Source organism: Homo sapiens, chromosome 19 (assembly GCF_000001405.40).
Source record: "Homo sapiens chromosome 19, GRCh38.p14 Primary Assembly".
Lineage (NCBI taxonomy): Eukaryota > Metazoa > Chordata > Mammalia > Primates > Hominidae > Homo > Homo sapiens.
This window is the reverse complement of record NC_000019.10, coordinates 14,989,222-15,010,663: the sequence shown is the minus strand read 5'-3', so window position 1 is coordinate 15,010,663 and position 21,442 is coordinate 14,989,222. Positions and strand designations below refer to the sequence as shown.

At 43.8% G+C, this 21,442-nt stretch overlaps 1 protein-coding gene across 1 annotated transcript in view; it reads left to right on the top strand.

Annotated features, from left to right (window-relative positions):
- Nucleotides 1-20: 20 nt before the first annotated feature.
- SLC1A6 (solute carrier family 1 member 6) overlaps nucleotides 21-21,442 on the top strand; it is a 60,611-nt gene continuing 39,189 nt past the window's right edge. Inside the window, exon 1 of the transcript NR_073589.2 lies at nucleotides 21-179. The gene's annotated coding sequence lies outside the window, so the exon portion shown is untranslated. The remainder of the gene's footprint in view (nucleotides 180-21,442) is intronic.

The following is a 21,442-nucleotide window of genomic DNA, read 5'->3' as shown; positions in this document are numbered from 1 at the left end:
AGGAGTAGGATGGAGTCTTTGCTTTGGAACTTGGCCTAAGTGCACTGGCATCCTGACTCCTTGAGAAAGAGCCCATCTAGCATCCTTCTCGCCGTTGCTTCCAGCAACATGGCCCTTCTTCCAGCTTTAGGATGTCCTAAGCGCTTCCAGCTGTCCAGGTCACACTCTGTCGCATGTCGGTAAGCATGGAAGAAGGGCCAGGCTTCTCACCAGGCATTCCTCTCGCCGTTACCTTCCAGCACATGGCCCTTCTTTCAGCTTCAGGGTGTCCGAAGCGCCTTCACACTTGGAAGCTTGGGACTTGCTGTTCCCACAGGTAGAATACTCCCATGGCTGGCCACTTTGCAGTCTTCAGATTTTTGCTGGCTGGGTTCTTGGTGTCCTTGACTACCCAAAAGTAGCTTTTTTAGTCTTACGTTTTCTTTTCTTTTCTTTTCTCTCTCTCTCTTTCTTTTTTCTTTCTTTCTTTTTTTTTTTTTTCATAGAGTCTTGCACTGTCGTCTGGGCTGGAGTGCAGTGGTGCGAGCTGGGCTCACTGCAATCTTCACCTCTCGGGTTCAAGAGATTCTCCTGCCTCAGTCTCCTGAGTAGCTGGGCTTACAGGCGCCCACCACCATGCCCAGCTAATTTTTTGCATTTTTTTTTTTTAGTAGAGACGGGGTTTCGCCATGTTGGCCAGGCTGGTCTCGAACTCCTGACCTCGTGATTCTCCTGCCTCGGCCTCCCAAAGTGCTGGCATTACAGGCGTGAGCCACCACGCCTGGCTTAGTCTTACATTTTCTTTCGTGTCTTCATAGCACTCACCGCTATCTGAAATTATCTTATTCATTTATTGGTTTACTTTTTAACTTTTGGGCATCTCTCACCTGCCCTAGAAGAATTAAGAGCCTTTAAAAAAAATTTATTTTTATGGATTTGGGATACAAGTGCAGTTTTGCTACATGGATATATTTTCTAGTGGTGAAGACTAGGCTTTTAGTGCAATCATCACCCAAATAGTGTACATTGTAGCCAATAGGTAGTACTGTATCCCTCACCCCCTTCTCACCCTCCTACCTACGGGAGCCTCCAATGTCTGTTTTCCACTCTGTTTGTCCATGTGTACCCATGGTTTAGCTTCCACTTAGAAGTGAGAACATGAGTTTTTTTGACTTTCTATTTCTCGGTCATTTCACTTAAGATAATGGCCTCTAGTTCCCTCCATGTTGCTGCAGAAGACAAGATTTCACTGTTTTTTATGGCTAAGTATTCCACGGCATATATATGTGATATATATCTGCTATATATAGAGCACATACATGTGACATATATGCTATATATATGTGCCATGTAGATAGGATATCTATGTGATATATATGTTATCTAGAGAGCATATATATGATATTTATAGATATATAGATATCTATGTGATATATATGCTATTTAGATAGCATATCTATGTGATAGATATGCTATATATAGGGCATATGTATTTGGTATAGATATGCTATATATATGCTGTCTAGATAGCATATCTATGTGATATATATATGCTATCTAGATATATGATAGATATGCTATTTATAGGGCATTTGTATCCGATATATATATGCTATCTAGATAGCATATCTATGTGATCTGTGTAGATAGCATATATGTATATTTTATATATATATGTTTATATATTTGAGACAAGATCTCACTCCAATTTCCCAGGCTGAAGTGCAGTGGCATGATCTCGGCTCACTGCAACCTCTGCCTCCCAGGCTCAGCTGATTCCATCACCTTGGCCTCCTGAATAGCTGAAATTACAGGTGCCTGCCTGTAAAAAAAAAAAAAACGCGAATTATTTTTGTTTTTTTAGTGGAGGTGGGGTTTTTGCCATGTTACCCAGGTTGGTTTCAAACTCTTGGACTCAAGCAATTCGACTTCCTTGACCTCCCAAAATGCTGAGATTACAGGGGGAAATCACCGCACCCAGCTTGTATACCATATTTTAACATCCAATCATCTGCTAATGGACACATAAGTTGATTCCATAACTTTGCTATAGTGAATAGTGCTGCCATAAACATGTAAGTGTGGATGTCTTTTTAATATAATGATTTCTCTTCCTTTAGGTATATACTCAGCAGTGGGATTGCTGGATCAAAGGGCAGTTCTATTTTTAGTTCTTTGAGAAATTGCCATCTGTTTCCCTAGAGGTTGTACTAATTTGCATCCCCACCAACAGTGTATAAGCTTTCCCTTTTCTCTGCATCCTTGCCAACCTCTGTTTTTTTTTCTTTTTACTTTTAAAATAATAGATATTCTGTATATATATATCTCTCTTTTTCTAAAGAGACTGAGCCCCACTTTGTGGCCCAGGCTGGAGTGCAGTGGGGGGATCATGGTTCACTGCAGCCTCCAACTCCTGATATCAAGCCATCCTTCTGCCTCAGTCTCCCAAAAAGCGAGGACTATAGGCGCACGCCACCACACTTGGCTAATTTTTAAATTTTGTGTAAAGACAGAGTCTTGCTAACATTGCCCAGGCTGGTCTCAGACTCCTGGGCTCAAGCAGTCCTCCCACCTCAGCCTCCCAAAATGGTGAGATTATAAGCCTGAGCCACTGCACCCAGACTCATTGTGTGTGTGTGGTTGGTTTTTTTTTGGGGGGGGGGCAGACTTTTGATCTTGTTTCCCAAGCTGGAGTGCAGTGGCATGATCTCGACTCACTGCAACCTCTGCTTCCTGGGTTCAAGCGATTCTTCTGCCTCAGCCTCCCGGGTAGCTGGGATTACAGGTGCGTGTCACCACACCCGGCTAATTTTTGTATTTTTAGTAGAAATGGGGTTTCACCATGTTAGCCAGGCTGGTCTCAAAGTCCTGACCTCAGATGATCCACCCGTCTCGCCCCCACAAAGTGCTGGGACCACAGGTATGAGCCACCGTGCCCGGCCTCTCATTGTGATTTTAATTGGCATTTCTCTGATGATTGACTCTAAGAGCCTCTAGAACAGGAAGCATGCTAGTCTTGTATCCTCAGTGTCTGTATAGTTCATAGCACATAGTGGGTCCTTAATACACATAGGATAAAGAAACGGATGGAATCAATCACATGCTATGATCATCTTACTTGATTTTTTTTTGTGAGATGAAATTTTCATAAATACAATGAATGATTTTAAGGTGCACAATTCAGAGGCATTAACACCTTCACAGTGTGGTGCAATCACCACTTGTATCGAATTCTAGAACACTTCACCAATCCCCAAATAAAACCTCATCCCCACGAGCGCTCACTCTCATTCCCCTGTCCCCTCAGCTCCTGGTAACCACTCATCTGCTCCCTGTCTCTGTAGATTTGCCTGTTCTGGACATTTCATGTCAATGGAGTCTCACACTATGTGGCCTTTTGTATCTGGTTTCTCTCACTCAGCATCGTGTTTTCCAGATTTGTCCATGTTGTAGCACGGATCAGTGCTTCTGTCCTTTTCATGGCTGAATCATATTCCATTGCATTTATATACCATAACTTTGTTTATCCATCTGACCAATGATGGACATTTGTTTTTCACTTGTGAGCTTCATGAGGGCATTGACCTCGCCTCTCCTATTTACCATTGTATTCCACTACCGAGCACCCAGCACAGATAGTGGCTCATGGCAAGCACTCAATACGTACTTATTAGAGGAATACGTAAGTGGAAGAATCAATACATGTTTTATTTTTATTTTATTTTATTTTTTCAGACAGGATCACACTCTGTCACCCAGGCTGGAGTGCAGTAGCACGATCATGGCTCACTGCAGCCTCAACCTCCTGGACTCAAGGGATCCTCTCACTCTCAGCCTCCTAAGTATCTAGGACTACGGGCATGTGCCACCATGCATAGCTTATTTTTAAATTTTCTTTTCTTTTCTTTTTCTTTTTTTTTTTTTGTAGAGACAGGGTCTTGCTATCTTTCCCTGGCTGGTCTTGGTCTCCTGGCCTTAAGTAATTCTCCTGCCTCGGCCTACAAAGGTGCTGGGATTACAGGCATGAGCCACCGTGCCTGTCCAAATATTTTCGTATTGAGTGAATGAGAGGTGCGACAGTCAAGAAAGAATGAATGACCCTGGGTTTGTAATCAAGGGATCATTCAGTAATGGGGGGTGGGGGGAATAAGATGGGCAACCAGCGACTCCCACGCCAGCCATCCTGGAGACCCGCCGTTATGTTCTTTAGGGCCACTAGCAAGAAATGGGGCCAGATAACCTTTGGCGATGGAGGCTTGGGAATATGGGGTTAGCACAGTCATTTGCTGCTGGGACCAGTGGTATCTGGTTCAACAAATTTTCATGAGCATCAGGAGGATATTATGGTCTGTATTCTGGATCCAGATGAACTAGGATTCAAATTATGATTCTGCCACTTGCTGTCTACGTGATCTCGAGCAATTCACTTAACATCTCTGTGCCTGCGTTGCCCCATCTGTCAACTCAGGTAATAGGATTGTGGCATGGAGACAATGAGTTAATATGAATGAAGTGCTTAGCACCATGGCTGACACCTAGTAAGCATTATGTAAGTGTTTACTTTTGACTTTTATTAATAGAATGAATCCATGAATGAGCTATTTCAAAACCAGAAGAGGTCCAGAGAGGGTTTCACAAAGAACCAGGGAGACACCTCATGTGAGATGACCTGCACACAACCATCTACCTTTGCTTTGTTCATGAAGTACGTCCACCTTCCCAACCAGGGGATCTCATTTGGGTAGGCTTGCTGCCTGGTGTATGAAGCACCTCTGTTGGGCAGAACTTGTACCAAGCTACCTGAGAGACGCTTAGGAAGCTTCCTCATGCCAGATCTGCATGTGAGGATTTTGGCTTCCACATGGCTCTCTGGTGAAATGCATTAGGGCTATGCAGGCTGTTACATTCTGGCTTTTTATTAGTTTAACACGCTGACACCAACACGCTGCTAGTATATGATACTATTATCTAAGCATTGAAATTGGTGCAGACCATTGCTTAATCAGACCAACTTCTCATTTCCATCTCCCAATCCCAGTTTCCATTCTCTATATCAACTTCCAAAAACTCACTGCTAGCTCCTGGCTTTGATGACCCATTTTGGACACTTCTCTAGCCTGATATGTATTTGAAGAACAGGTGAGTTATCTGGTTTTTTTGTTTTTTTGTTTTTGTGAGAAGGAGTTTCACTCTTGTTGCCCAGGCTGGAGTGCAGTGGCGCGATCTCGGTTCACTGCAACCTACGCCTCCCAGGTTCAAGTGATTCTCCTGCCTCAGCCTTCTGAGTAGCTGGGATTACAGATGCCCACCACCACGCCCAGCTAATTTTTTGTATTTTTAGTAGAACAATTTGTTCACCATTGTTGGCCAGGCTATTCGTGAACTCCTGACCGCCACCGTGCCCTGCTTTTTTTTTTTTTTTTTTGAGACAGGGTCTTGCTTTGTCACCCAGAGTAGAGTACAGTGGTACCATCATGGCTCACTGCAACTTTGAACTCCTGGGCTTAAACAATCCTCCTGCCTCAGCCTCCTGGGTAGCTGGCCCTATGGGCATGTGCTACCATGCCTGGCTAATTTAAAAATGTTTTTGTAGAGACACGATCTTGCTATGTTGCCCAGGCTAGTCTCAAACTCCTGGACTCAAACAATCCTCCCGCCTTGGCCTACCAAAGCTCTGGGGTTTCAGATGTGAGCAACTGTGCCTGGCCTGTCTGGAAGGAACCATTCATTGCTGGGCTGGGATTAGCTCTCATTTTCCAAGTGATTCACCTGCGTGTGTCTGAACAGAAACAGTGATGTTCAAAAAATCTACAGAAACATTATGTACACAAGACCGAGGACTAGGAAAATTTTTCAGTACTCTCCAAGCCTAAATACCTCTCTTAAACTAACAAATAAGCTATGAAAGCAAGGTATGCACCTTGTATAAAATGTATAAAATATGGGAAACATAATGAAATGAATAAGAATCTTTTTTTTTTTTCTGGAGACAGAGTCTCACTCTGTCACCCAGGCTGAAATGAAGTGGCACAATCTTGGCTCACTAAAGCCTCCAACTCCTGGTCTCAAGAGATCTCTTGCTTCAGCCTCCTGAATAGCTGGAACTACAGGTGCATGCCATCACAATTGACTTTTTTTTTTTTTTGTAGAGGTGAGGTCTTGCTATGTTGCCCAGTCTGGGTCTTGAACTCCTGGCTTCAAGCCATCCTCCTGCCTCACCCTCTCAAAGTGCTGGGATTATGGCCACAAGCCACCATGGCCAGCCTTATTTTTTGTTTTACTATCCAGAGATACTTATTCTGAACTTGATCTTGATTTCACTCTAACCATTTCCACATTCATTCCCCCACCATGCCTCTGTGTGTGTGTGTGTATGTGTGCATGCATATACACAACTATACATATTTCCCTTCTCCCAATATACTGAAGCCCAAATACTTCTAACTCAGGCCAATAGGGAGTTATATTTCTTTGTGAAATTAGCTCTCTGATTTTTATTTATTTTATTTATGCATTATTAATTTTTTTAGAGACAGAGTCTTGCTCTGTTGCTCACGCTGGAGTGCAGTGGTGTGATCTTGGCTCACTGCAACCTCCTCCTCCTGGGTTCAAGCAATTCTCCTGCCTCAGCCTGCTGAGTAGCTGGGACTACAGGGGCCCACCACCACGCCCAGCTAATTTTTTGTATTTTAATAGAGATGGGGTTTCTCCATGTTGCCCAGGTTGGTCTCGAGCTCCTGAGCTCAGGCAATCCACCCGGCTTGGCCTCCCAAAGTGCTAGGATTACAGGCATGAACCACCACACCTGGCAGCTCTCTTGATTTTTATAATAAAGAACACTTTATAGAAATTCCTTTTTGCAACTTTGCTGGGGCCACCTGTTCTATATACTGATTCATGCAATGTAGGGAGCAGAATTCTGCTTTTGGGCGAAATCGAGTGAAATTGCAGAATGGATGAAGAAGGAGCACCTTCTAAAACTTCTAGCCTTTTTTCTTTTCTTTTCTTTCTTTTTTTTTTTTTTGGCATTACATGGAGATGCCCTTCGCTGTGAAATCTTGGCAGGTAATTATCAGAGACCCCTTTTTAGGTTCCCCGATGTCTTCCCTTCTGGGACACCAGGTTCTACTTTTAGTAGGTGCCCCTCTTTCTCTTGGAGATAATCACATCAATTGGTCTCTCATTCCAGGGGGATATGACCTAGAATCTGTTTTGTCTTTGAGAAATGAGGTCGCTTTTCTGGTGGAGGTGTCAGGAGATGGTGGGAAGCCCCAGGCTGGGAGAGGAGGTGCTTCCTGGTTCTTCCCTGTCATCTCCTGCAAAGGCAGTGACCTTGCTGGTCAGTGAGTGACAAGGACCTGTGTCTATGGCTGTACCCCTGGTCAGTCCCTCAAAATGACTCAGGCAGGCCAGGCACGGTGGCTTATGCCTGTAATCCCAGCACTTTGGGAGGCTGAGGTAGGCAGATCAGTTGAGGCCAGGAGTTCGAGACCAGCCTGGCCAACATGGTGAAACCCCATCTGTACAAAAATGCAAAAATTAGCTGGGCGTGGTGGCACATGCCTGTAATCCCAGCTACTCAAGAGGCTGAGTCATGAGAATCGCTTGAACCCGGGGGGCGGAGGTTGCAGTGAGCTGAGATTGTGCCACTGTGCTCTAGCCTGGGTGAGACAGAGACTCTATTACAAAAAACAAAATAACAACAACAACAACAACAACATCCCACAAAAAACAAAAAGACAAAAATGAAAAACACAAACCGAAAACAAACAAACAAACAAACAAACAAACAAAAATAATGGCTCAGGCATCCATCATCAACGTCTTCCTGCAATGGACAAATTCCAGTTTCTTTTCTATCCTGCTCAACTTGACCTCCTGGTAGCTTTGAAATTGTCAGCCCTCTGTGACTTGAATCCCCTCCCCTGTGCTCTTTCACATGTTTTCTTTTTCACCTCTACTCTGTGTTCTTTACTAGCTGGTTGTCCGCCATCCACCCCTCAAATATGATGGATTTCTTTTTCAGCTGGGTTAGGCATCTTCAGATGGCCCTGAATGGTCCTCACCTCCTGATCCTCATGCCCTGTGTAATCCCTTGAGTGTGGGCTGGACCTGATGTGTCACTTGTAACCAACAGCCTATGGCAAACATGATAGATGCTGCTTCTGAGATTAGGTTACAAAGCGATCATGGCTTCTGTTCTGCTCTCTCTTGCTTGCTCTTTCACTTGCTCACTCTGAAGAAATCCAAGCCAGGCATGGTGGCTCATGCCTATAATTCCAGCACTTTGGGAGGCTGAGGTAGGAGGATTGCTTGAAGCCAGGAGTTTGAGGCTAGCCTGGGCAACATAGCAAGACCCTGTTTCTTAAAAACAAAAAACAAAACAAAACAAAAAACCCAACCCAAACCAAACCAAACAAAACAAAAAACAGCTGGATGTGGTGGTGCATATCTGGAATCTGAGCTACTCAAGAGGCTGGGGTGGGAGGATCGCTTGAGCCCAGGAGATGGAGGCTGCAGTGAGCTATGATCGCACCACTGCACTCCAGCCTGGGTAACACAGCAAGATCCTGTCTCAAAACAAAATAAAACAATAATAAAATAAAATAAAAGAGAAATAGCGTGTGCATCAGGTTTTCATTCTCCATTCACTTCTCATTCCTCACTTTTTACTTGGAAAATCTTTTTCTCATTAGTGAATTTGGGTATTAATAGTTAGGTTAGGGCCAGGTGTGGTGGCTCACTACTGTAATCCCAGCACTTTGGGAGACTGAGGCGGATGAATTGCTTAAGCCCAGGAGTTTGAGACCAATCTGGGCAACATGGTAAACCCTGGCTCTACAAAAAATGGAAAAATTAGCAGGGCATTATGGTGTGTGCCTGTGGTTCCAGCTACTCTGGAGGCTGAAGAAGGAGAATCACCTGAGCCAAGGGAGGTCGAGGCTGCAATGAGCCCTGATTGTGCCACTGCACTCCAGCCTGAGTGACAGAGTGAGACCCTGTCTCAAGAAAATAAGAAGGTTAGGAAGACTGTGGCTTTACAACCAATAGGTGGGTTCAGTGAAGTGAACCTCAGGTTTAGAATGGCATCCAAGTTCCTTACCAGAATCTACAGAATCCCAATTTCTTACCATCTGGCCCCATCCCACCTTTCCTTCCATCTCCCACCTCTCTGTCCAAAGATCATAAAGGATCAGTCATGATGTGCTCACCATCCGTGTTTATTCTCATAGTCTTTGCATTTGTTTTTCCCCTCTCTGAAATGTTCTTATTCTGCATTTTTATATGGCTTTCTCCCTTTCTTGCTTTGGGTCTCTGTTCAAATATTATCTCTTAAAGAACTCTTCTCTGACCACTCGGTTTGAGGTCTCACACCACCGGGCTATACGCCATCCCTCCTCCCCTCGTAGCTCTTGTCAGATTGTAATTCTTTTCCTTCCCTCTCTAGAATGTCAGCTCCTTGGTGGGCATCTCATTTGTCTTAGTTATTACTGAATAACTAAGTTCCCAGCCCAGTTTGGGAACAAACTGGAACAAAGTAGACCCTTAATATTTGTTCGCTGAGTGACATAATGATGGCTGCTCTGTCATGCTAAAACATACTCCATGTGTGTGGACCAACCAAGGACTTTCTTCTGCTTCTGCTATGAACATTCCTGTTCTAGCTGTTCAACCTTCAAACATCTTTTCTGTTTGTGGGATAACCCAAATTAGGTGGGAAGAAGAACTGTTGAAAGGGCTTATCTACTGTTATGGGTTGAATTGTGCCTCTCAGAAAAAGATATGTTGGAGTCCTCCCCTGTGGTACATGTGAATGTGATGTTATTTGGAATTAGGGTCATTGCAGATGTAAGTAAGGTAAGGTGGTACTGGAGTGGGTTGGATCCTACTGGTGTCCTTATGACAAGTTGGCCATGTGTATAAGAGAACAGAGATGCATGGGGACAATGCCGTGTGAAAACATGATGATCAGCAAAGGAAATGGCATCAGTATGTCAAGGAGATATTTGCACTCCCCATGTTTATTGCAGCACTGTTCACAGTAGCCAAGATATGGAATGAACCTGAGTCCATCCGGTTGGATAAAGAAAATGTGGCACATATACACAATAGAATACTATTTAGCCATTAGAAAGAAGGAAATCCTGTCATTTGCAACAACCTGGATGAAGCTGGAGGACATTAGGCTAAATGAAATAACCCAGGCACAAAGACAAATACTGCATCTTCTCACTTATATGTGGAAGGTAAAAAAGACAAACTGATAGAAACAGAATAAAATGGTGGTTGCCAGAGGCTAGGATTGGGGGCAATTGGGGAGATGTTGGTCAGAAGACACAAAATTTTAGCTAGAAGAGAAGAATAAGTTCAACAGATCTGTTATACATCGTGGCAACTATAGTTAATAACAGTATATTGCATAGAGATTTTCCTCAACTTATGATAAGGTTACATCCTGATAAACCCATCATAAGTTGAAAATATCATAAGTCAAAATGCATTTAATACATATAACCTACTGAACACCATAGCTTAGCCTCATCTACCTTAAACATGCGCAGAACACTTACATTAGCCTAGAGTTGAGCAAAATCATCTAACACAAAACCTATTTTTCATTGTTCAATTCCCACATGGACACAGGAAGGGGAACCTCACACACCGGGGCCTGTTGTGGGGTGGGGGGGAGGGGGAAGAGATAGCATTAGGAGACATACCTAATGTTAAATGACGAGTTACTGGGTGCAGCACACCAACATAGCACATGTATATATATGTAACAAACCAGCATGTTGTGCACATGTACCCTAAAACTTAAAGTATAATAATAAAAAACAAAAAAACCTATTTTATAATAAAATGTTGACTATCTCATGTAATTTATTGACTATTGTATTGAAGGTGAAAACAAGAATGATTGTGTGGCTACTCAAAGGATGGTTTCTACTTTGCCCCACGGTAGAGTAAAAAAATCACAAGTTGAACCATTGTAAGTTGGAGACTGTGTGTACTTGAAAATTGCTGAAAGAGATTTGCAGTGTTCTCACCACAAAAAAATGATAAGTATGTGAGATAATGCATGTAAACCAAGAAGTATCTCAGATGAGTCTCAATCAGTTTAGAAGTTTATTTTGCCAAGGTTATTGACAGGCCTGTGACACAGGAGAGGTCCTGATGACATGTGCCCAAGGTCTTTAAGCTACAGCTTGGTTTTATACATTTTAGGCAGACAAGAGACATCAGTCAATACATGTTAAGTGTACATTGGGTCGACTCAGAAAGACGGGACAACTTGAGGTGGGTAGGAGTTGGGGGGCTTCCAGGTCATAGGTGGATTCAAAGATTTTCCAATTGGCAATTGGTTGAAAGAGTTTATATAAAGACCTGGAATCCATAGAAGAGAGTGTCTGGGTTAAAATAAGGGGTTGTGGAGACCAAGGTTCTTATTTTGCAGATGAAGCCACCAGGTAGCAGGCTTCAGAGAGAGTAGATTATAAATGTTTCTTGGCCGGGCATGGTGGCTCACGCCTGTAATCCCAGCACTTTGGGAGGCTGAGGCAGGTGAATCACGAGGTCAGGAGATTGAGACCATCATGGCTAACACGATGAAACCCCGTCTCTACTAAAAATACAAAAAAATTAGCCAGGTGTGGTGGCGGGCACCTGTAGTCCCAGCTACTCGGGAGGCTGAGGCAGGAGAATGGCGTGAACCCAGGAGGCGGAGGCTGCAGTGAGCCGAGATAGTGCCACTGCACTCCAGCCTGGGTGACAGAGCAAGACTCCATTAAAAATAAATAAATAAATAAATAAATAAATAAATAAATAAATGTTTCTTATCAGACTTAAAAAGGTTCTAGACCCAGTTAATTCTCTCCTGGATCAGGGAGAAGACCTGGAAAGGAGAAGGGATGCTCCAAAAAGTGTAGATTTTCCTCACAAGAGACAGCTTTGCAGAGCCATTTCAAAATATGTCAAAGAAATACATTTTAGAGTAAAATATCTCAATTTCTTTCAGGACCTGCTATCTGTCATGTGATGCTATACTAAAGTAATTTGGAATTTGGTGTCTTATTGCTACAAAAAGTCTTAAGATCTCTGCTTTTTTTGTTGTTGTTGTTTATTTTTTTGTTTTGTTTGTTTTTTGAGACAGAGTCTCACTCTGTTGCCCAGGCTGGAGTACAGTGGCATGATCTTGGCTCGCTGCAACCTCTCCCTGCTGGGTTCAAGTGATTCTCCTGCCTCAGCCACCTGAATATCTGGGATTACAGGCATGTGCTACAATGACTGGCTAATTTTTGTATTTTTAGAAGAGACAGGGTTTCACCATGTTGGCCAGGCTGGTCTTGAACTCCCACCCTCAAGTGATCTGCCCACCTTGGCCTCCCAAAGTGCTGGGATTACAGGGGTGAGCCATCACACCTGGCCAAGATCTCTGTTTTAATGTTAATGCTGGCCAGCTATGCCTGAATTCCAAAGGGAAGAGAGCTTAATGAGGCATGTCTGATTCCGTCTTTCTATCATGGCCTGAACTAGTTTTTCAGGTTAATTTTGGAATGCCCTTGGCCAAGAGGGGTCCATTCAGATGGTTGGTAGGGCATAGAATTTTATTTTTAGTTTACATGCATATGTTAATAGCTTGATTTATTCATTCCATAGTGCATACACACACACACACACACAAACATCATATTGTACATCATAAATATATGCAATTTTTACTTGTCAATTAAAAAAAAAGACATGAAGATTGGAGTAGAGGATATACAAGCCAAGAAATGCCCAGGATTCTTGGCAACTATGAGAAACTAGAATGAGGCAAGGGAAGATTCTCCTCCAGAGCTTTGGAAGGAGCACAGCCCTACCAACACCTTGATTTCAGACTTCTGCCTTCCAAGACTGTGTGAGAATAAATTCCTGTGGCTTTCAACCAGACAATTTGCTGTGATTTGTTATGGCAGCCCTAGAAAACTAATATAATGGCTTCTGCTCCTTTAGCTGAGGGTCCCCTGCCTATTCCTGGCCTGTCTCTGTGTGGCATTGCCTATCACAGGTAGGTGCACCGGGGAAGCATCTCAAATAGCAGAGCAAGGGAGAAGCAGCCACTTGCTCTCTTGGCTGTCTGAAGCTCATCTTCTAATATCCTGGTTTCCCGCCTTAATCTGCCCCAATGCTGCCATTTTCTGGGGATTCTTTTAAGCTATGAACCCCAAATATCTGAGACAATTATCAGTCAATTTAGGAAGTTTATTTTGCCAAAGTTAAAAATGAGTGCCTGTGATACATCCTCAGGAGGTCCTGATGACATGCCCTCAAGGTGGTCTGGGCACAGCTTGGTTTTATACATTTTAGAGAGACACGAGACATCAGTAAATATCTGTAAGAAGTACATTGGTTCCATCCAGAAAGGTGGAACAACTCAAAGTAGGGAGGAGGCTTCCAGGTCATAGGTAGGTAAGAGACAAATGGTTGCATTCTTTTGAGTTTCTGATTCGCCTTTCCAAAGGAGGCAAGCAGATATGCATTTATCTCAGTGAGCAGAGGGATGACTGAGTTTTGTCTGTCCTTTGCCTGCAAGGAAATTCCTTGTGAGGGAGATATGTAGCTCTTTTATCTTAGTAGCTATCTTTTTTAGGAATAGAATCGGAGGCATGTTTGCCCTAAGTAGTTCCCAGCTTGACTTTTCCCTTTGGCTTAGTGATTTCTGGGTCCCAAGATTTATTTTCCTTTCACACCCCACCAGATCCTCCAAGGAAGGGAGCCCACTGATATCCACAAAAATCCACCACCTGGGGTGCAGAGCAAGTTGGAGGGGTGCATCCTTTCTACCTCCTGGAGAAGGATGGAGAGTAGACTTGGGGGCCCACTAGAAAATCTTTCTTTCCTAATGGCTTGATTGATTGATTGATCGAGTGACTTGGCAAATGTTTATTGAGCATCTGCTCTGTGTCAGGCACCAGGCTAAGAGCCAGGAGAGTGGAGCAGTAAGATGAAGTTTCTCTTCTCTCCTGGAGCTTGTCAGTCAGTGGGAAAAATGAAAAACTAAAATAAACCATCAAAATCATGTCAGATAGAAGTAACGGCTTAAGGTACAATGAGAGGAAGAAGAAGAAGAGGAAGAAGAACAAGAAGAAGAAGAAGAAGAAGAAGAAGAAGAAAGAGGAGGAGGAGAGGGAGGAGGAGGAGGAGGAAAGAAAGAAGGGGAAGGAGAAGGAGGAGGAGGAGAACAAACTGACCAATTGGCAGGATTCTAATGTATATATTTCTAAGTGTACAGTTCAGTGGCATTAAGTACAATCCCATTGTTGTGCAACCATTACCTTCATCCGTCTTCCCCAGATGAAACTCAGTGCCCATCAAACAATAACTCCCCATTCTCCTTGCAACTCTGCAGTCCCTGGTAACCAATGTTCTACTTTTTGTCTTTGCTTTGGCTATTCTATGTATCTCATATAAGTTGAATCATACAATACTTGTCCTTTTGCATTTGGCTTCTTTCACTTAGCCCACTGTCCTCAAGGTTTATTCATGTAGCAGGTAGGCATGATTCTAATTTTGAAGTAAGACAAATATCTCCACCTGGAAAGCAGTTCACCAACAATTTAGTGTTGATTATAAATAGGATTTGGTTGAATTTTTTCTACCGTGTTTCCTTCTATTCTTTCTGCATTTTTCAGATTTTCTGCAATGAACATAAATTACCTTGATAGTAAAAAAAATCTTTAAGATCTTTAAAATGGACACCCCCTTTTCCTTCCCTCTCTCTTCTTCATCAATGATATTGCTGTCTAATGTTCTTTTCCGGGGTAACCTAGCTCCTGGATCTACCAGTGATCTACCATCTCTCTTCTTCTATGAGGTCAACTGAGGACACTTCTACTACTATACTTTACTTTTTTAATGTCAAATTGTATTTTTGTTCACACTTAAGCAACTATTGATGCCAACATTGGGGATCTGGACTTTTAATATATGTTTTAATTAAAAATTTAAAAATTGACACAAATTGTATCTGTATATCATGTATAGCATAACGTTTTATCGTATATATATATTGTGGAATGACTAAATCTAGTCAATTAACATATGCATTCCCTCATATAGTTATCATTTTTGTGGTGAAGCATTTGCATCTGTTCGCTTCGCATTTTTTGAGAATAGGGTAACCATGCTGTACAATAGATCTCTTGAACTTTTTTCTCCTATCTAACTGAAATTTGGCATCCTTTGACCAACATCTCCTCAACCACCCAAGGCTATGGTATGGTAACCACTGTTCTACTTTCTTTTTCTTCCCTTCCCTTCCCTTCCCTTCCCTTTTCTTTCTTTCTTTCTTTCTTTCTTTTTTTTTTTTTTTTTTGGAGATGGAGTTTCACTCTTGTTGCCCAGGCTGGAGTGCTGTGGTATGATCTCGGCTCACTGCAACCTCCACCTCCAGGGTTCAAGCAATTCTCCTACCTCAGCCTCCCAAGTAGCTGGGATTACAGGCATGTGCCACCATGCCTAGCTAATTTTTGTATTATTAGTAGAGACGGAGTTTCGCCATATTGGCCAGGCTGGTCTCGAACTCCTGACCTCAGGTGATCCACCCGTCTTGGCCTCCCAAAGTGCTGGGATTACAGGTGTGAGCCACCACACTCGGCCACTCTACTCTCTTTTTCTATGAGTTCAACATTTTAGGATTCCACATATGAGTGAGATCATGCAGTGTTTGTCTTTCTGTATCTGGCTTATTTCCTGTAATATCATGTTCTCCGAGTTCATCCATGTGGTTGCAAATGGCAGGATTTCCTTATTTTTTTTGTGGCTGAATACTATCCCATTGTGATTATACTTTACTACCTGCCTGCTTATTTTTCTTCTTCCTCTTCTAAATACATATCAAGAGGGAAGTCTGAACAGAAAGAAACTCAGGATGGCGCACCCAAACTTTTTAAGCAATAGAAAGGCAAGGGGGTTTGCCCTAAGCAGCTCCCAGCTTGACTTTTCCCTTTGGCTTAGTGATTTTGGGGTCCCCAAATTTATTTTACTTTCACAAAGCCAACCCCACCAGATTCTCCAAGGCAGGCAGCCCATTGATAGCCACAAAAATCCACCTTCTGGGGTGCAGAGCAAGTCGGAGGGTTGCATTCTCTCTAACCCCTGGAGAAAGATGGAGGGTAGACTGGGCAGTTTGAGGGGAGTTGGGTCAAGGTGTGGTAGGGGGTAAAGAAACCATACAGGATTGCAGAATCCATGCAGTTACGTGGAGCAGTCAGCATCTGGGGGTTATTACCACTCCTGGGCAGATGCAGAGAGGGGAGGGAGCTGTTACTACTGGAACCTAGAGGGGGCTGCCAGCCAGGACCTTGTGCTCTGCAGTCTAGGGCCAATCTGCAGGGGGGATGCAGGGAGGCACCCCAGGAAATAAATACTCTGGCCTCACCCTCTTTCATCCCTCTTGCCTCCTGTAAGGGCTTCCCATTGCTTGAAGCCAACCAGAAGACAGAGGACAAGGCTTCTTGTTGGTTTGATCCATGAACCTGGACACAGAACAAGGGGAGGACAGATGGAGAACATCCCTGGAGGCCATCTTGAAGGTCTCCAGCATCATTTCGTGTGGAGCCCTAAGGAGTTAAAAGAAAACTTAAAGAATGGGCTTATCTGGGGTTGAGAGAAGCAAATGTTCTGAGAAATGGGGTCAACTGCAAAAGGCCCGCTAGCTTCTAGTGCTCAGCTCACAGCCCGCCTGCACCCAAGCATTCTGTTGCAAGTGCTCAGCTCACAGCCCACCTGCACCCAAGCATCTTATCTACAAGCTTTCAGCTCACAGCCCATCTGCACACAAGCATCTTGTTTGCAAGCACTCAGCTCACTGCCCACCTGCACCCAACCATCCTGTCTGCAAGCACTCAGCTGAAGGAGCACCACCTTATAAAACTTTCCCTCCAGCCCCTGACTCTTTTCAGACAGCAGACAACCTTCCTTCTGCTGTCTTACCCATTGCATCCTTGCAATGCATGTCCTCCTTTCTTTAATACATCTGCCTTTTAAAACTCACTCTTGTCTTGGTAAATTCCTTTACCCCTTGCATGCAGGCCTCAAACAGTTGTTGACCATGACATCTCTCACTAAGACAGAGTTGCCAGGGTGGCACCAGGCCTCCCCTCCCAGTACAATGCCGGGCAGAAAGCACATGTTAATAAATGTTGATGAAATAGCCAGGAATGAGAAGGAGATTGATTTTTTTAAATTATAAAATACACATAACATAAAATTGACCATTTGAAAGTTGACGGTTCAGTGACTTTAGTACATTTGCAGTGCTGTGCTACCGTCAGCATTATCAAGTTTGACTACAGCTTTCACCCCCCCAGAAGGAAACCCTCTACCCATCATCAGCAGTCACTCACCATTGCCCCCCGACTCCAGCCCTGGGCAACCACTAATTGGATGTCTATCTTTATGGATTTACCTGTGCTGGGTATTTTATATAAATATAAGTGCAGACTGAATTTGGGAGGGGGTATCCTGAATCCCTCAGTTCTGACTTTCCCTTTTTTACCTCCCCTGAAATTCTACTTTTAGACAATTCGCTTGCATATCAGGCCACTCTGGTAATGAAAGACAGGGGATCAGGACGGGGAGACCTGGTCCTCCTCCCACCTCCTCTGCTCCCTCTGGGGCCCTGGGAACGGTGGGGAAGCTGTTAGCCGATAATGAGACTCCCTCTCCTTTAATGACTCTGGGGGCTGCGGGGATGCCTCAGGCTAGCTCTGCCCTAATTAATTAATAGGGAGCGTTTCCCACAGAGGAATTAGCCTCAATTCCTCGGTCTCAGACTCTTCTTGGCTCAGCTCGTGTTCAAGCTCCACCTTGCAGCTGGGGCAGTCGTCTGGGACAGCCCGGGGTGCTCCGTCTGCACTGCCCTGCCCTCCTAATGCTAGGGCCAGAGTTGGAGCCTTTGGTCAGAGTGGACCTGGGGTGGCTGGAGGTTTGAGCCAGACAGATGTGGGCTCCAATCTAACCCTGCTCATTTTTTTTTTTTTTGAGACAGAGTCTTGCTCTGTAGCCCAAGATGGAGTGCAGTGGCATGATCTTGGCTCACTGCAAACTCCACCTCCTGAGTTCAAGCGATTCTCCTGCCTCAGCCTCCTGAGTAGCTGGGATTACAGGTGCGCACCACCTGTCTGCCTGCCTCGGCCTCCCAAAGTGCTGGGATTACAGGCGTGAGCCACTACACCCGGCCGTGACCCTGCTCTTTATTAATTCTGAGGCCTGCTGCTTAACCTCTTTGAGACCCTTCTTATCTGTAAAAGGGAGCTGGCAGCCTTTACTGTTGAGAGAGCAAGAGACTCACAAGGCCACAGTGAGGTTGAGATACCAGTCAGTCCCACATACAAAATATCAGGTAGCACCAAAAAACCGGCGACTAAGCTAAATAATACTCCAATGTCAATAATTAAAAACAACTCATGAAATTAATGCAAACAATCCATGGTTAACCCAAATAGCAGAATGTTCAAGATAGAATCAGTAAGAGTGCTGAACTGAGCCACACAGGAGCCTGAAAAGCAGAAGGCACTGGGCGCGTTGGCTCACGCCTGTAATCCCAGCACTTTGGGAGGCTGAGGCGGGTGGATCACCTAAGGTCAGGAGTTCAAGACCAGCCTGCCCAACATGGTGAAACCCCGTCTCTACTAAAAATACAAAAATTAGCTGGACGTGGTGGTAGGCACCTGTAATCCCAGCTACTCGGGAGGCTGAGGCAGGAGAATCACTAGAACCCGGGAGGCGGAGATTGCAGTGAGCCAAGATCACGCCACTGCGTGACAGAGCAAGACTCCCTCTAGAAAAAAAAAAAAAAGAAAAAAGCAGAAGGAAAAGTAGGAACTTTGGTCCTGTCTTGATTTAACATGTTGATCTATTTGTTCATTGTGGATTTTTTTGCATTCATTTTGATTTCTAAAAAGATTTCATTGAAATATTGTTTCTCTTTAATACCGAGGTTTTTTTGGTACTCCTTTACTTTTGTTTTATTGAAGTGAAATTTGTGTAATGTAAAATTGTCTTTTTTTTTTTTTTTGACACAGAGTCTCCCTCTGTCACCCAGGCTGGAGTGCAGTGGCGATATCTCGGCTCACTGCAACATCCTCCTCCCGGGTTCAAGCAATTCTCTTCCTCAGCCTCCTGAGTAGCTGGGATTACATGTGCGCATCACCACACCCAGCTAATTTTTGTATTTTTGGTAGAGATGGGGTTTCACCATGCTGGCCAGGGGGCTTGAACTCCTGACCTCTAGTGATCTATCCACCTTGGCCTCCCAAAGTGCTGGGATTACAGGTATGAGCCACCGCACCTAGTCAAATTAACCCTTTTAAAGAGTACAATTCCCAGTGTCCTGTAACTATCACCTCTATCTAGGTCCAGAACATTTCAATCGCCCCAAAAGGAAGTCTATACCCTTTAGCATCACTCATCATTTCTCCCGCCTGCAGCCCCTGGCAACCACGAATCTGCTTTCCAAATCTAGGATAGGATTTGCCTATTCTGGACATTTCATATAAATAGAATTATATACACTTATGTGGCCTTTTGTATCCGGCTTCTCTCACTCAGCATTATGTTTTTTAAGGTGTGTTTTAAAAATATTTTTATTTTAAAATTTTATTTAAATGACAGATAAAATTGTGTGTATTTGTTGTGTACAGCATGATGTTTTGAAATATACACACACACATTGTGGAATGGCTAAATCTAGCTCATCAATATGTGCATTGCCTTCCAAAGTTCACTTTTATGGTAAGAACATTTACAATCTACTCTCTTAGCATTTGTCTAGAATACACTGTATTGTTATTAACTAGAGTCACCATGTTGTACAACAGATCTCTTGAAATTATTCGTTTTTTTTTTTTTTTGTTTTGTTTTGTTTTTTGAGACAGAGTCTCACTCTTGTTGCCCAGGCTGGAGTGCAGTGGTATGATCTTGGCTCACTGCAACCTCCGCCTCCCAAGTTCAAGAGATTCTCCTGCCTCAGCTTCCTAAGTAGCTGCGATTATAGGTGTGCGCCACCACTCCTGGCTAATTTTGTATTTTTACTAGAGACAGGGTTTCACCACGTTGGTCAGGCTGGTCTCGAACTCCTGACCTCAGGTGATCCGCCTGCCTCGGCTTCCCAAAGTGCTGGGACTACAGGCATGAGCCACTGCACCCAGCCAAAATTATTCCTCTTTACCAACTGAAATTCGGTATCCTTTGACCAACATCTCCCCAATCCTCCAACTTGAGTCTCTGGTAATCATCATTTTATTCTCTGCTGTTATGAGTTCAATTGTTTTTAGATTCCACATGTAAGTGAGATCATGGTATTTGTCTTTCAGTGCCTGGCTTATTTCACCCAACATAATGTTCTCCAGGTTCATCAAAAGGAAATCCTGTCATTTGTTCATGTTGTCATAAATGACAGGATTTTCTTTTCTTACAACTGCATAGCATAGTACATTTAAAAATCCATTTCTCGGTGGACACTTAGGTTGCTTCCATATCTTGACTGTTGTGAATAACATTGCAATGAGCATGGGGGTGCAGATATCTCTTTGAGACACTGATTTCATTTCCTTTAGATATACATATCCAGTAGTGGGACTGCAGGATCATATGGTAATTCTATTTTAACTTTTTGAGAAACCTCCACACTGTTCTTCTATTTTTTCGAGACAGAGTCTTGCTCTGTTGCCCAGGCTGGAGTGCAGTGGCATGAACTTGGCTCACTGCAACCTCCACCTCCTGGGTTCAAGTGAATCTCCTGCTTCAGCCTCCCCAGTAGCTGGGATTACAGGTGCGCACCACCACGCCACGCTGATTTTTGTATGTTTAGTACAGATGGGTTTTCACCATGTTGGCCAGGCTGGTCTCGAACTCCTAACCTCAGGTGATCCACACCCCACCCCCCGCCACCCCACTCAGCCTCCCAAAGTTTTGAAATTACAGGCATGAGCCACTGTGCCCAGCCTCCATACTGTTTTTGTTTTGTTTTGTTTTTTATAATGGCTGTACTAATTTACATTCCCACCAACAGAGCACATGGGTTGTCTTTTCTCCGAATTCCCCTGACCACTTATCTTTTTTCTTTAAAAAAAATTTTTGGCCGGGCACGGTGGCTCACGCCTGTAATTCCACACTTTGGGAGGCCGAGGTGGGCGGATCACCTGAGGTCGGGAGTTCAAGACCAGCCTGACCAACATGGAGAAACCCCGTCTCTACTAAAAATACAAAATTAGCCAGGCGTGGTGGTGCATGCCTGTAATTCAAGCTACTCGGGAGGCCGAGGCAGGAGAATTGCTTGAACCCAGGAGGTGGAGGTTGCAGTGAGCCGAGATCACGCCATTGCACTCCAGCCTGGGCAACCAGAGTGAAACTCCTCCTTAAAAAATTTTTTTTAAAATAGATTTTGGGGGTTCAGTGCAGTTTTGATACATGGATA